Here is a 16974-nt window from a genome sequence, read left to right on the forward strand (position 1 = left end):
GCAATAAAGTAATTTGGTAGGAGGGTTGTTTTTTCTGGAATTTGTGGTATTTAGGGCTCTGAAAATGAAAAACATTTGCTAATGTGGTATAAGGATGTTTGTGGTGTATTTTTTAATGGAAGAAATATAACTTTTATTGATAAATACTTCCAAAATTGTGAATAATTCTTTCAGTTGACAGTTATATTTCTTGTATTTTAAACTATCAGTCATATATTTATTTTTCTTATTTTTAAGCTTTCTTAACTTAAAACAAAGGGTTTTTGTTTTTGTTTTATTATTATTATTTCTTTGAGACGAAGTCTCGCTCTGTCATCCAGGCTGGAGTGCAGTGACACGATCTCGGCTCCCTGCAACCTCCGCCTCCCGGGTTCAAGCAATTCTCCTGCCTCAGCCTCCTAAGTAGCTGGGAGTACAGGTGCTTGCCACCACACCTAGCTAATTTTTTTTTTTTGTATTTTTAGTAGAGATGGCGTTTCGCCATGTTGGCCAGCCTGGTCTCAAACTCCTCACCTTAGGTGATCCACTCGCCTCGGCCTCCCAAAGTGCTGGGATTACAGGCACGAGCCACTGCACCCGGTGACTGATATTAGGATTAAATGAAATACATATATCTTTGCCTATGGAGTCTCTAAACTTATGAATTTAGTGAAATAGCTTGAACATTTTCAACTGGTAAAATTAGATCACTATAGTTGAATCATTTGGTGCAAAGTGTTAATGTGACATTGAGATAGAATTTATCAGACTCAATTAGAAAAACTCCTCTCATTTAAATAAAACAAAAAATTGAATACGTAGAGAAAAGGTTATACATGCTTTTTATTCTCTTTCCATTTTAGAAAGCAAATGAACATAATTATGAAATAGGTAAGTCATGCCTAATGATAAAATATCCTCCATTTTTAAGGAATAATTTCACTGTGTTTCACATTTGGTGACTTCTGGGATCTATATTTCCATTTAAATAACTGTTGACATTGTTGGAAAATTGGTGAGTGTATGTGATGACAGTTACAGTACATATTGGATAACAAGGGTAGAATAAATCAGTTAAGTCGTGGTGGTCTGTTATCTATTTTTAGGTCTTTTTGACCCAGGAGTCTGTGACCTATGAAATCTCCACTTTTTTGGATTTGTTAAGGTATTTTACAATGCAAAGATTTAAATTTAGATGAGTACCACACTGAAGGATACTGGCTAATGTGGTCCAAAACATAAAGGATATCAAAGTATACACTGGGAAAAGCTTGTGAAGTTCCGATAACGTATGTGAGAAGAGAGAGGCTACAGTTAAGGAAGTTTCTTTTCTGCTCTAACTTATAACAAAGAGAATCTGAAATTTAAGCTGGTATTTGCCATGCTCTGAGTACTCAGCAGCATGCCATTTTGTGAAATTATTGCTGAGAAAATGTACCCAAATCTTGAGTACAGAGTGTTCCTGCATCTGATTGGAAGGGGCACATGAATTGTTTCTAAGGTATTGCAGACCCAAGGCTGCACAAATTAAGGTGGAGACTTGGGGGAGGGATCCAGTCAGGGAAGGGAAGCTTCCTAGACATTACAGCTCTGTCCAGAGGCCAAATGGGAGATAAATCACCACTGGCCACCTCTCTTATTATTGAAATGGTACAGCCCTGGGGTTTAACTGAAGGACTGACAGGGTTTTGAAGTGCAAATAGAATGGTGAAGAGTAAACCCTTTTAGGGTTTCATTTTGATGGATTTTTTTTTCCTGTGTGGATTTCTGGTACAGACTGTGATCTGGAAGGGGCCCTTAAAAAAAAAAAAGTTTTGTTTTTGATCAGTCAGACAATAAGAACTTTCCACAGGGATGTACTTTTCTAGCATGCATATTGATTCTATTGTGTTTTAAAGTAGATCATTTAATTGGATCTTTTTTTGAGCCTTCTGCAGTGGAGCTGTCATTTCAAGGTCACTTCTCTTTCTTGTTATTAATGCCAGAGTTTGAAAGTGTTGAATGATGTGGTAGTTTTGGATTAATAGATTGTGGGAGATTACTTAGGGCCAGTGTGTATAAGGCTTTGTTTATAAAGTCTCCTAGTTAAAGATCCAGTCCATATTAGAACAAGTATTTTATATAAGTGTTCTATAATTATTTAATCTTTTTTCTATTGTGATATGATTTTACATACTCATTTTATTATTTTGTATGTATTCTACTTTGCCAGCCTTAAAAAAAACCCAGAAAATTCTGAGATTATGAAATATTATACTGTTATTTATGAAAGATACATTGAAGTGTTTGAGGAAATAAGAGAGACATAAAAATGTTTAAGTAACTGATATGTTGATTTATATAAGTTGAAATTTTTTTAACCTCCTCCCCACAAGTAATTCAATCACAGGAGACAAAATATATTTTAAAATTTGTGTTTTTTTTGGAAAGTGGGGAGGAGAGGAGTCATTAGTAACCCCAAAGAAAAATGATTGTAGCATAACTTAAAGACTTTGTGTGCAAACATTTTAGAGAAAAAAATATTTTTATTAAAGAAATGCCATTATAAGTATTTAGATTTCTTCTTAGAAATATTGTCAATGGAAATTTTCTTAAGCATTTTGGCTCTTTTCTTTAGATGTAACATAAATATTTGTATCATTTGCCCTTTTTGAGAAGAATAATGTATTTAGCTCCAACAGAGGTTTTCCTGTGTTGCTCGATATCTATTCTAAAAACGGGTTGTTAATCTCCATAATTGGCATTGACCACATGATGTTCTTAATTGACCTCCAGGTTAGTTTTTGTTTTTATGTTCTTCGAAATTTCCCCTTCACTGTATTTGTCTGAATGTTAGAGTTATATTTACTTCCTATTCTGTCTGATAGTTTTAAATAAGATGTTTTAAACAACAGTCACAACGAAAGTCCTAGAACCTAGATGGCATCAAGCAGAGTCTCCTGCATCTACAGCTTCCCTGTCATTAGTTTGTTGCTGGGAGATGTTAATATGACCTTTCCTTTGTTAGAAAAGAGCTGTGCAGCCCTTCCCAGAATCCTCTTGTAAAATGTCTTTTTAACCCAAGTTGGAGGTTGTCTGATGAATGGTTGGCTTTTTCAAATGTGCTGCACATATTGTTGACATTGTCACAGGTTGCTTTTTAATTTCTAATGTGTTTTTAATTTGCAAAGCATGCATGTGCCTTTCACCGCAGTAGAATTGAGTCAGCATTTCTGAGTCCAGATATTAAGAGTCAGGCTTAAGAATGCTGTATGGTAGACTTAGATTTCCTGAAACACTTGTGAATGAATTTCACTTTGAATATTGATGAATAAAAGAAGATACTTGAGAAAGGCTCCCCCTGCCCCCACTCCGCCTCCCCCCCGCCCCCCCCCCCCCACACACACAAGAACTCCTCCTGCCTATTGGTGAGTGAATTGCCCCGATATAAAAGCATTGGGTGGGGAAAAGTGAGTTACAGAGTGAAAAGGCAATCCACAAATAATCACTCTTTTCTGCCTTTGATTGTGTCAGATTTTTTTTGTGTGTGTGGCAATTGTTTTCTTTTTTGCTTAGAAGAGGTTTATGGTCCAATGTCTGTCAAGTCAGCCCCTGTCTTAAGCTTGCAGTTGTATTTCTCTCTGGAGTTCCTGGAGGTGATGTTATCTTTTGTTCACTCAGCAGTGTGGTCGTTTCTGAGAGCATCTGTCACTTTAGGCATTACAAGATGGATGGGTCTCCAGTGAACTGCTGGTTGAAGCAAATGGTGAAAATAAGAAAATCAAGGGGTTTCAGGGTCTGCAGAGGGGACAGACAACAAGGAAACACTGTTAGAAATCAAGAGTAAGCTGAGCAATAGAGGAAGAGAGCAAAGATGGATCAGATGTCATTTTATAAACATCTTGGAAATCAGAATCTTTTGGTGGCTTTCGTGATCTGAGGGAGACATCTGCATCATGGTAAACAATTCCATGCTTTGGATTTGCAAAATGTGTTTGAATATATATTTTTTAATCTTGATAAAGTATTGGGAAATAATCATAATGATACAGAATATATTATGTGAGGATTTTGCTGTTTGGAGAATTAGTAGTCTTTTAAATGTTTTAAAGATTAAATTAGAAATCTAACCTTAAAATTTTTGTTTTTTCTTTTTTTCTTTCCTTCCTCTTTTTTTCTAAATTTTCTTTTTGTAAACAAGTGAGCAAGCATAGACATTAAAATGAAAAGTTTTGGCCACATAACTAATATTCTTATTGTTTACTAAATGCTTTTTGGCACTTTTGTAGAGGAATTCTGAAAATTCAGTGCTCAGGCTTTTGGGAGGCTGGGGACAGATTTTAAGTTATTTTCAGTAACCTTCAACTTAAGGGGCTCTTTGGTCAAAAAAAGAAATATAATTGTTATTGATCTGTCAGAACAAGTTGGAGATTTGTATTGTATTTAGAAATTTATTTTGTTGGTGAAGGTCAAAATTTATAAATCCTGGCTAATACAAAGTCCCTCCTGTGAAAGACAAGGAACAGGAAGGAGGTTGGCCAGGGAGTAAGAAAGGAGAAGAGGGGGCAATATGATTGCAAAAAAAAAAAATGATTTTGTCAAACTTCTTGGCATTTGTCTATTAAAAAGACCATAGGTTGAAAGGCAAAGAAATTAAGATGATTAGAAGCTTTAAGCTATACAAATGGTTGAGTATCTTCCTTCTCTATGGATGTAAATAATAGATGAAAGAGTAAGAGTGACAACAAAGGATCAGGTCGTTTAAGAGAATGTGTGCAGCCTGAATAGGGGTCTGTGGCCCAGGGCCAAAGGTCTTAGCTTTGAGTGTAATTAGAAGAAAATACAAAAATGTCATTACTAACAGGTGAAGTGTGCAGCACGTGGCCAAAAATTAGCAATTTTAGACTCTGAAGCTATTGGAATTAGATTACTGACTTTTTTTTTTTTTTTAATCATTAGGGTCCTTGTGGAGTAATATAGTTTCATTGGCAGTAATGCAGTTTGACCTTGTTGACCATATGGGGTAATCTTGGGTTTGGATGTAGGTAGCAAGGCTCCTGCTGACTTAGGAAAAGATGTCTATTTATGTGTGGGCGGGTGGGATATATGTGAGTTTGAAAACCTAGACCTTCCATTTTTAATTATTATTTTGCCTGAAGACATTCTTCTGACAGTAAGAGGTAAGATAAATATTTTTATTCGAAAAATCTAAAATTTTTTTTCTTTCAAGTCGGCATAAGAGAAAAGTAAAATGAAAAAAACCATTTTTAGACAACATAAATTAATTTTACTTCAAATATTTTAGTTATATAGATATTTATATTGAAGTTAGTTTCTTAGGAAAATCCTCTTTTGTTTTCTTTTTAAACAAAGTAACAAAGGACTAGAAATGCTTCTATGTTATCTATAAAAATCAATGACAAGTAGTTTTCATTTCACTTTATGTTTTACAACTATATTTCCTATTTTCCCATGCAGTAGTTTATATTGACCATAATCTATTTAGAGGAGAGATGAACATGCATACTATACTTTTCAACCAATTATATGCAATTATAATTATTTAGTTTAATATCTTCTAGGAATACATTACTCAGAAGGGTAAGAAACAATAGCTCTTGTTCTTTTTGCAGGCTTTCTTACTGGAAAATTTTCAATCAATAGTAATTATGTTTTACGTTTTTGATAGTTCTTTGAGTAGATAAATTTGGGCCGGGTATCAGGGATTATTACTCCTAAATTCCTTAGATAAGAAAATTACCTTCCACTAATTTCATTCCTAAAAGTAGTCTGTTGGCTTTTGATATTATGGTAACATCTGCCATAAATGCAGACTTGACAGACTTATTCAACTTACTTTTAGTGGGGGAAATCATAAGAACAACAGAAATTATCTTTGAGTATATATAATTAGGAGTAATTATTTTGAGACTATTGAGAAAAGTGGAGTATCTGTATATTTGCTCATTATAATGTATATGGAGTTGGAAAGTGTGAGACTTTGATAATTTCTAACTGTGATTTTCATGGAATTATAAATATTTAGATTATTATATTATAGAATATGTATTTGGAAATTAACTCATGTCTTTATGTATATATTTTTATTTTTTATGTTTTTGCAGGTGCACAAAAAGCTTTAAACAAGTTAAAATCTAGGCAACAGACTCCCTGAAGTGTTGACTGCCCAACTTAATCATGACTGTGATTCAAAAATGTTAATAAATAAACCAAGGTATTGTACAATTATATATGACCCTCCCCAATTTTTCAAGATCAAATTTGTTTTAGGAAGTTGTATTTAGAATTCAAATAAAACTACTATGTTTGCTTCTTAAAGTGAATAAGATACTTCCATGAGCTCCTCTCCTTCCCTGCTTTCCTCTCCCCTCCCCCATCCCCTTACCCCATACCAGAAAGCTTCTGCAGAGTTCTTTCTCTACAACAACCCCTGTATTTCCTATATACCTAAATTAAGAAAATAAGAATTCAGTTCTTTATTCCCTTTTGTTGATTATGATTTTATGCTTCAAATTGTCTAATAAATGAGACTTCTAGATTATAGGCTTCTGCATAAATACCCAGATTATCCCTATTGACTGCATATATTTGTCTCATATAACACTATCCTGAGATATATGTTCTAAAGATTTTATAAAAGTTTTTTTTTCTATTTTAGGAGGCTTTTAATTTAGAAAAGGAAAAAGGTGATGCTCCCCACCCCCCACCCCCATCAAAGAAAATCAGATGCTTGCTTAGAATTGAGAATTTAAGGCTACTGTTTAGGTAACTCCTGTCTGTCAGAAGGGGCATATCCCAAGACTGTTTCTCTCCTTTTGGAAGTTACAATGTGCTTAAATAGCCTGGCATTTCCAAGAGAGGCCAAAGATCTTTTCCTCTTTTATAACACGTTGTATCCTTTTGAGGCCAAAAAGAACAAGAGGGTCATTGCCACTTCAGCCTGGTCCCTGTTTGTTCCTTCATGGTGACCACGCAGATACTGAAACCCAGGATGGGCTTAACATTTGGGCCTGGAACATCTGGAAAATGGTCAGAGAGGGAGCGGAGGAGGCAGAAGAAAGAGAACTGTTGCATTTTGTTTCACCAGGTGCTAGGAGGAAGCAACATTAGCCTTTTTGATATGGGAGGCACATTCTGTGGACCCTGGAGTTAGGCTGCAACAATTGAGGAGGTCAAAGGACAGCTGAGTGGGGTCAGTGAGACACCATGGGGTGTATTTTGTTACTTAGTAAAAGGAGCAGCCTCCTAAACCTTAAAGGATTCTCTTGAAAATCTGTGTTGTGAAAAGGTTTTATGAGTCTTATGGCAAAAACTCCTGATTTATCTAAGGAATGCTCGCTTTTGTCTAATGGAAGGATAATCCTTACCAAATGTTGGCAACGTCTATAAGAGTCAATATAGGTCTGAAAGAACAGTTGGAGTTTGAAGTGTACTTTGCTTTTCAAAATGTTTATCATTTTAGTGTTTCTCTCTCAGGAAGAATTTTGCACTGTTGAAATATCACCTTTTTCTTTCCTTGGAGCAGAAAGCGGTAGCGGGTGGGGAGTGAGGGAGGGTGGACGGGGAGAGGTAAGCCGGGAACTTACATTAATTTAAAAATCATTCTACAAGCTTTTGGCCTAATCTGCAAACAAGGTATTATTATTAAACCTTTAAAAACACCAAAACTTGTTAACTCTAAAAAGTAATATTTGAATTTATTTTAACTTACGAGGAAAATGGGTGGTACATGAAGTGTCATGTTTCTGGAATACAGATTTTTTTATTTAGTTGTTGATAGAAAGGGCTGTCAGTTGACAAACAACCTTAAATCTTGTGTTTCTTCCTGAATGTGGTCAAGAAGAAAATCAGTGTCAGAGTCAAGAATAGAGAATAAGAAAAGCAATACAGTAAGGAGTTTTCTCTTTGAAGGGAAATGGAGAAGGGAAAAATCTGCATATTGTAAAAGCTCTCTTTACCACAACCCATGACCTCAAGAGACCGCTTATATGATTGTGGATACCTTTGAAAGGTATTAGCCACCTGACAGGTTATGAAAGGAGACTGTTAGAGGAATTTGGCAGTATTTTGATATTCCAGTTTATATACTATCATTTATATTTCAATCTATACACATATATAGAGAGAAAGCATATATTACAATGTATATAGTAAGGGAAGAAAGATAAAATGATAAGGCCTATAATAGGCCTTGTTAATTTATAAATTTACAATATCTACTACTTGTGTGTGATTTGTTTTGAATTTTTGATAATCACTCGTGTTAAAGGAACATACACATAAATGTAAGGCTTAGCATGTAGTCTGCTCATTTTCTATTTTCTCAAGGTTAAAGCACCTTTCAACAACTAATTTAGAAACCTAAGTATAGTGACTGATAATTGCCTAGAGCAAACCCACAGCTGTTTAAGAGGCCTTAAAATTGTGGCAAAACTGACAAATACGATTAGCAATGTTAATAAGCTAAGAAGATGGAAAGACAGGAGCAGATGACAGAGTGGAAAGATGGAGGTAGCAAGAAATCATAAAAGAATAGAATGTTTAAGAAAAAAAACAGTGTTCACGGTTGCTTTGAATTTATAGTGCTTTTTCTTTCAAGCAAAGTCTCCTTCTTTTATTACTTACTCTCTGAATTACCAGTGGAATGTGTGCTTTGCAGGTTAAATAATTCAAATATATTTGTTCAGCCCCTAATTCACATCTGATTTTGAAAGAAGACAGCTATTTGGCAATAGTATTTAAGAAAAACAATCAAGTTTTGCTGATTCTAAGGCACAATTTGATTTGCGGTACTTTTTAGAAGTCAGTTTTAAATGTACTTCTGTTTTACTGTAATTACTTTGGGAATTTATTTACCCCTCTTTGTGCCCTTGTAATGCTTAGTCACTCAAATATATTACACAGGAGACCTTGTTTCTGGGTTTAGTGACCCACCATTATCAAAAACAAAACAAAGCCAAAAAAAACCTGTAGAAGTATTTAATGTGTTATTATTACTAATTATCTGGTTAATGTTCATAGCCAACTTTGCAAACAACTTTTTTGGGAAAATTAAATGGGGCTAGGTAAATAAGAGAAATCAGTTGAGTGTTAGGTGGAAAATATTTAGTTATCTATGCCTTTCTCACTATACTTTTTAAAGCATCAGATGAAATTTGGAAAATTATTATAGTATCTTTTGAAATTCTACTCTGCATTTGGGAAATTGGCGAATTGTTTTTTGCCTCTGGTGTTTTATGCAGATTTTAATGATTGTTGTGATAAATCCCCAGAAGTTTGTTTTCGGAAACCATAGAGACTCTGAACTCTGAATGTGACAGCGTTGAAAGATGTGGTGAGCCACACTTTGGAAGCATTTCTGGTTATTTAATGTTTTCTGTTCTGGATTATTGACTGTTCTCCCTGTTGAAAAATTGGTCTCTGGTGACATGGTAGAGGTCACACGTTGCCTATTATTGTTTTGCTTCTTTGATCTTACACAAGGATTGCCTCTGGTAATTATACTAGTTCCAGAGAGTCTTGACAAGAGGTGTTTATTTTACAGAAGAATTTCTGGCATTTCAAGGAAAAGTAAAGATTTCCAGTGGTAACGTGTACTTCTTTGTTACAAAGGAAAAACAGCATTGTAGTCATGATAGTTTTTAGTCATTATTATGAAATTAGTTAGCATAGTACAATAATTATTTCTAAAAAAATTTAATATATATTGCATATCTGTAAGTATATTGCTAAGAAGGGTAAATTTTAGGATTAAGTTAATAGGGTTGGGTTTTTATTTGAATACCTAAAATACTTTTGGCTTTACAAACTATAAAAATAAATTTGTCCAGCCTGGCCAACATGGTGAAACCCTGTCTCTACTAAATAAATACAAAAATTAGCCAAGCGTGGTGGCACGCGCCTGTAATCTCAGCTACTCAGGAGGCTGAGGCAGGAGAATCGCTTGAACCCAGGAGGCGGAGGTTACAGTGAGCCACAATCGCACCACCACACTCCAGTCTGGGCAGCAGAGCGAGACTCCATCTCAAAAAAAAAAAAAAAGAAAAGAAAAGAAAAAAGAAATTCATCCAAATTTCCAAATTTAAATGTACAAAACTATTAAAGGAGTTTAAAATTTTTGTCTTTTAATCTGTTTGCACTTTCTAAACATTCTCAGCAAAAGGATGAATAAAAATGAAATAAAGCACTTCTGTTTTGAATGCATGGTTAGCTTTGTGCTTTTATGGAATGTGCTTGGGAAGAGATATCTCTTCAGACCTGTTTAATATATAATTGGATAAGACACAAAAGCTCAATTTATTCATTTTTTTTTACTCAGTTCCAGCTTTAAACAAATTATATGTCCCCCAAAACTCACAATCTATTGGGGGAAGTTAGACAGATACTAGACCCAACTAACTATAATTGAGAATGACAAATATCAATTTAAAAGAATAAATGAAATGCTCAGAGAGCACAAAAGAGAAAGAACAAAAATATGTAATAGTTTAATATTTTGGATTTGAGACTGAAAACTTACAGGAAGTGTGTTTGGTTTATTTGTCTGAGAGTCATACATTATTCACTCTCATCAGGGAATGTTTTTAATAGAGAAAGAGCATATAAGCAGAAATACAGTAACAAATAATTTTGTTATACAAAGAGTTTTATCACTGTAAGGGACAGTCATAATCTATCCTATAGAATTATTCTACAGATGAAGAAACTGAGCTTGAGATAGGTTAGGGGACTTGTTCAAGATCACATTAGTAGGGACACAGCCAAGCCTCTTAGAACTTAAGAAATCTTTTATCTCTCAATCATTGTACATACTCTAGAGTTGTACTGTTCAGTATGACAGCTACTAGTCACATGTAGCTATTTAAATTAATTACTGCTGGGCGCAGTGGCTCACGCCTATAATTCCACACTTTGAGAGCCTGAGGCAGGTGGATTGCTTGAGGCCAGGGGTTCGAGACCAGCCTTGCCTGCATGGTAAAATCCCGTCTCTACAAAAAAAATACAGAAAATAGACGGGCAGGTGGCACATGCCTCTAGTCTCAGGTACTTGGGAGGCTGAGGCATGATGCAGGAGAATTGCTTGAGCCCACGAGGTGGAGGTTGCAGTGAGCTGAGATCACACCACTGCACTCCAATCTGGTCAACAGAGTAAGACTCTGTGTCAAAAAAAAAAATTAATTACAATTAAATAAAATTGAAATTTTAGTTCCCCAGTCACACTGGCCACGTTTTAAGTGTTCAGCTGCCACATGTGGCTAGTGGCTACCATATTGGACAGTCCAGAATATGAACGTTTTCATTATCTTAGAAAATTCTTTTGGGCAGTGCTGTTCTTGGTGTCAAAGGTCATCTCATGATTTGTATATATGATTGTACAATTTCTTAATAAATAAATTGTATATAGTGCCAAATAGCAGCCTTTGGAACTTTTACATTATTTTTCCTAGAAACAAGGCTCCAGAATCTACTGTAGTGCCCAACTTTTATAAAGGAAAGAATGCATCTTACTTTTCTTCATATCCTCAACGTGGCACAATGATACAATTTTTTTTTTTTTTTTTTAAAGTAAAAATGGTTGCTACTGGCCAGGTGCGGTGGCTCATGCCTGTAATCCCAGCACTTTGGGAGGCTGAGGTGGGCGGATCATGAGATCAGGAGATCGAGACCATCCTGGCTTACATGGTGAAACCCTGTCTCTACCAAAAATACAACAAATTAGCCGGGCGTGGCGGGCGCCTGTAGTCGCAGCTACTCGGGAGGCTGAGGCAGGAGAATGGCATGAACCTGGGAGGCGGAGCTTGCAGTGAGCCGAGATCACAGCACTGCACTCCAGCCTAGGAGACAGTTTGAGACTTCATCTCAAAAAAAAAAAAAAAAAGGTGCTACTATGACTACCAACATTTTCTGCACTTTTTTTCTGTGCCAGGCACTATTCTAAAAACTTATTACTGTATGTAAAATCTCATGTGTTTTCACAAAAATCTATGAAATTGAAAGTACTGTCTCCATTTTACAGATGAAAGATTGAACAATTTGCCCAATATCATACTAGGAGTAGGTGGGTACAGGATTTGAATTAAGGTCATTGGACTCCTGAGTCAATGTAATTAATCCCTATGACAGTAGTATTTCTATAAATGCTGAGTGATTAATTGTTAAAGTTTAGAAAGTGACATCTGTAAAGAAAAAGGTAATAGAAAACTACGAAGTTATACAAATTTGTCTCTCTTTTTTTTTTTTTTTTGAGACAGAGTCTCGCTCTGTTGCCCAGGCTGGAGTTCAATGGCATGATCTCGGCTCACTGCAACCTCCGCCTCCCGAGTTCAAGCAGTTATCTGCCTCAGTCTCCCAAGTAGCTGGGATTACAGGCACCCGCCACCCCGCCAGGCCAATTTTTGTATTTTTAGTAGAGACAGGGTTTCACCATCTTGGCCAGGCTGGTCTTGAACTCCTGACCTTGTGATCCACCTGCCTCAGCCTCCCAAAGTGCTAGGATTACAGGCATAAGCCACCGTGCCCGGCCCCAAATTTGTCTTTTTAGTATTATACCTGACACGAGAGATTTTTTTTGCAATTTTTTTTGTTTTGTTTTTTAGCTCATCAGCTGTCGATAGTGTATTTTATGTGTGGCTCAGAACAATTCTTCCAGTGTGGCCGAAGATGGCTTTGAATGTGACCCAACACAAATTTGTAAACTTTCTTAAAATATGAGATTTTTGCCGGGTGCGGTGGCTCATGCCTATAATCCCAGCACTTCGGGAGGCCGAGGCGGGTGGATCACCTGAGGTCAGGAATTCAAGATCAGCCTGACCAATATGGAGAAACCCCATCTCTACTAAAAATACAAAATTAGCTGGGCATGATGGCGGGCGCCTGTAATCCCAGCTAGTTGGGAGGCTGAGGCAGGAGAATCGCTTGAACCTGGGAGGTGGAGGTGGCGGTGAGCCGAGATCATGCCAAAACAACAACAAAAAATTATGAGATTTTTTTTGCAATTTTTCCTTTTTCTTTTCTTTTCTTTTTTTTTGCTCATCAGCTATTGTTAGTGTTCATGTATTTTATGTTTGGCCCAAGACATTTCTTCTTCTTCCAGTGTGGTCCAGGGAAGGCAAAAGATTGGACACCCCTGTTCTAGAGGGATGACTAAATTCATGATACCCTTTGGCAGGAATGCTTCCTAGGTGGTGAGTGTGCTTCATATCGTCTCCACTGAGAAGGCACGCATCATCTCACTGCCTCACTTTTAGTGATGCTAAGCTCAACCAGTGGGTTCAGGAGGTGACAGCGGGATCTCTCCATTATAAAGTTCCCTATCAACCTTCTGTCTCATGGTTTCACTTATTACCATTGCCTGCATGAATTTTTCATTAGGGGTTACAAAGTGATAATTTTATAATTCTGTCATTCTTTGCCCCCTGCCTCCTTTTTTTTCGAGACAGAGTTTTTTGTCACCCACGCTGGAGTGCAATGGTGCTATCTCAGCTCACTGCAACCTCCGCGTCCCAGGTTCATGCGATTCTCCTGCCTCAGTCTCCCGAGTAGCTGGGATTATAGGCACCTACCACCGTGCCCAGCTAATTTTTGTATTTTCAGTAGAGATAGAGTTTCACTATGTTGACCAAGCTGGTCTCAAACTCCTGACCTCAGGTGATCCACCCGCCTTGGCCTCCCAAAGTGCTGGGATTCCAGGCCGTGAGCCACTGTGCCTGGCCCTCTTTTTGAACATTTTTTAGCTGGAATTCTTCTTTTAAAAAAATTCAAACTCTCAATAATCAGGACTATTTGGTTACTTGGAAGTACAGAAAGAGCAGAATAAATGCTTTGTTCTTTTCTTTTTGAAGTACAGAAAGAGTAGAATAAATGCTTTGCTCTTTTCTTTTCCTGCTTGTAGTGCTTTGTTTTTGTCTTTCCAAAGGAGCTCTTGCTTTTTCTCCTGTAGTAGCAAAATTAATTTGTGAATTTTTATATTTTAAATTGCTTTGGTCAGTTGGATTTATTCTCTTTTATGTTTGGTTTCTCTAATCTTTAGCCTATGGGAGCTCTTCAGGTAGTCTCGTATGTCTTCTAACATGCTTCATTAGTTCTTTTTTTTTTCTTCAGGCCAGGTTTCACTCTGTCACCCAGGCTGGAGTGCAGTGGCACAACCACACTTCACTGCAGCCTCCACCTCTCAGGCTCAAACAATTCTCATGCCTCAGCCTCCTGAGTAGCTGGGACCGCAGGCACACACCACCACATGCCCAGTTAATTTTTGTATTTTTTGTAGAGACAGGGTTTCGTCATGTTGCCCAGGCTGGTCTCAAACTCCTGGACTCAAGTCATCTGCCTGCCTTGGCCTCCCAAATTGCTGGGATTACAGGTGTGAGCCACTGCACCCAGCCTTATTAGTTCTTGATAACCTTTGCTTTCTTGTTCAGATGTTCGAGGCTCATCTGGAGTATTCCCTGCCCCAGACTTGGAACTGGTCATACCTTGAAAAAATCTTGATTCCTTTCAGTGTGGAAGGCATTAGGCCACTACAATCAGAGTATAGGAAGTGCTTATTAATAGTAATTGAATGGTATTGCTTCTCAGATTTTTCAGTAGACAAAGCTTAGAAATACATATTTTAAAACTTCAAATGAGTTATTACTTAGAATATGTACATCCCCATCTACCTGTACCACAGCTTACTTTGCTGTTAAAATCACACAACCCCAAATTAGTGTTTTAGATTCAGTTCTTTTTCTTTTAGCTTGTACATGATCTTTTTAAAAATCAGTGTTTTTCTTGTTCTTCCTTGTCATTTCCTTTTTAAAAATACTTTTAAAAATTAATGTTTATTTGTTCCAGATAGTTGGTATTAAAAGAAACTTTTATTAAAACCCCAAGTGCAGTACTTGAAAATATATTTATACTTAATCAAAAGGGGAACTTTTTTCCTTTTCCTTTTTTTTTTTTTTTTTTTCCACACAGGGTCTCATTCTGTCAGCCAGGCTGGAGTGCAGTGGCATGATCATGACTCACTGCAGCCTCAACTTCTGGGCTCAAGCAGTTCTCCCACCTCAGCCTCCCAAGTAGCTGAGACTACAGGCACCTGCCACCAATCTTGGCTAATTTTTGATGTGAGGAGGTTTTTTGTTTTGTTTTGTTTTGTTTTTTGTTTTTGTTTTTTTTTTTGAGATGGAGTCTCACTCTGTTGCCCTGGCTGGAATGCAGTGGCACGAACTTGGCTCACTGCAAACCTCCGCCTCCTGGGTTCAAGCGATTCTTCTGCCTCAGCCTCCCGAGTAGCTGGGACTATAGGCACGCACCACCACGCCCGGCTAATTTTTGTATTTTTAGTAGAGACGGGTTTCACCATCTTGGCCAGGCTGGTCTCGAACTTCTGACCTCGTGATTCATCCACCTCAGCCTCCCAAAGTGCTGGGATTACAGGCGTGAGCCACCGCACCTGGCCCTGATGTGAGGAGTTTTTTATTAGAGCGGTACGGTTATTTTGTTGTGATTTTTAAAATTGTTATTTGGCTTTGTGACTCTTAGGCTCATATCTTAAGTTAAAATTTCCTTTTCAGCCTGTCTTGCAACTGTGATAAATAGAGATGAGGCCACATCAGCAAACAAACATTTTCTTTTCTGATTTTTTTCTTTGGAGGTCAGCAGTTTTATAGTACATTACCAAGCATTCATTTACCCAATTGGGCCATCTTGGTCAGTGGGTTAGTAGCTTAATGGTCTGAGTGATAAAGATAGCACCTAAGAGAGCTGCTTCTGAGCCAAACTGATTTGGTTCTACCCTGTTTACCTGTTTCCTTGTAGGGTGATCTTAGGCAAGTTCCTTAACTTCTCTAAGCCTCAGTTATCTTGAAAATGTGAGTAATAATAGTGCTTGCTCGGCACTTAGTAAGCTCTCCATGCTACTCTTGCAATCACTGAAGGGATGCTTTCTTTCACATTTTTTGACAATAACTACCACCACCACCACCATCACCACCACCACCACCACCATCACTACTGCTAGTAATAATAACAACAGCTACTATTATATTAACTGCCAGTAATGCCTGCCATTGTAACATGTGCTTCACATACAACTTTAACTACAAGTATGACTGTATATTCTGAAATCAATGCTTTAATTCTAAAAAGTCTTTGAGAGTTAAGGGAAAATTTTATCACTGAGGAGGGCATTTCTCTCTCTCTCTCTCTGCTGTATACTTTTTTAAAATTTTTTTGAGATGGAGTTTTGCTCTTGTTGCCCAGGCTGGAGTGCAATGGCGTGATCTCGGCTCACTGCAACCTCCACTCCAGGGTTCAAGTGATTCTCCTGCCTCAGCCTCCCAAGTAGCTGGGATTACAGGCGCCTGCCACCATGCCTGGCTATTTTTTGTGTTTTTAGTAGAGACGGGGTTTTGCAATGTTGGCCAGGCTGGTCTCAAACTCCTGACCTCAGGTGATCCACCCACCACCTCAGCTTCCCAAAGTGCTGGGATTACAGGAATGAGCCACCTGGCCTATTTTTAAGAAAAAAAAAAAAAAAGCAAAAACAAAGAACTGAGGGGCCCAAAAATCTCACGTCACTTCTGTAGATTCTAAGACATAATTATGAAAAAATAGACAGGGCCGGGCGCAGTGGCTCATGCCTGTAATCCCAGCACTTTGGGAGGCCAAGGTGGGCGGATCACGAGGTCCGGAGATGGAGACCATCCTGGCTAACACGGTGAAACCCCATCTCTACTAAAAACACAAAAAAATTAGCCGGGCATGGTGGCAGGCGCCTCTAGTCCCAGCTACTTGGGAGGCTGAGGCAGGAGAGTGGTGTGAATCCGGGAGGCGTAGCTTGCAGTGAGCCGAGATCACACCACTGCACTCCAGCCTGGGCAACAGAGCGAGACTCTGAGAGTCCGTCTCAAAAAAAAAAAAAAAAAAAAAGAAAGCCAACTTGTAATTTCCAGTATATACTTATGTATTGTATGTATCTGGCTGACATCAAGTTTATAAGACTCCATTACATTG

The 16974-nt window shown here is 37.5% G+C and overlaps 1 protein-coding gene across 29 annotated transcripts in view; it reads left to right on the top strand.

Moving 5' to 3' along the window:
• The window catches only part of GREB1L (GREB1 like retinoic acid receptor coactivator), a 283881-nt gene that overhangs the window by 117712 nt on the left and 149195 nt on the right, over positions 1 to 16974 (top strand). For 21 of the 29 annotated variants that reach the window (XM_006722547.4, XM_011526179.4, NM_001410867.1 and 18 more), the window contains exon 2: positions 6084 to 6193. The exons of 3 other annotated variants lie outside the window; for them this stretch is intronic. The gene's annotated coding sequence lies outside the window, so the exon portion shown is untranslated. Of the gene's footprint in view, positions 1 to 3677; positions 3918 to 6083; positions 6194 to 16974 lie in introns of those variants that run through there. 5 more of the 29 variants (XM_047437821.1, XM_047437810.1, XM_047437820.1 and 2 more) reach the window with 1 other exon arrangement.

This window comes from Homo sapiens, chromosome 18, assembly GCF_000001405.40.
Source record: "Homo sapiens chromosome 18, GRCh38.p14 Primary Assembly".
Classification (NCBI taxonomy): domain Eukaryota; kingdom Metazoa; phylum Chordata; class Mammalia; order Primates; family Hominidae; genus Homo; species Homo sapiens.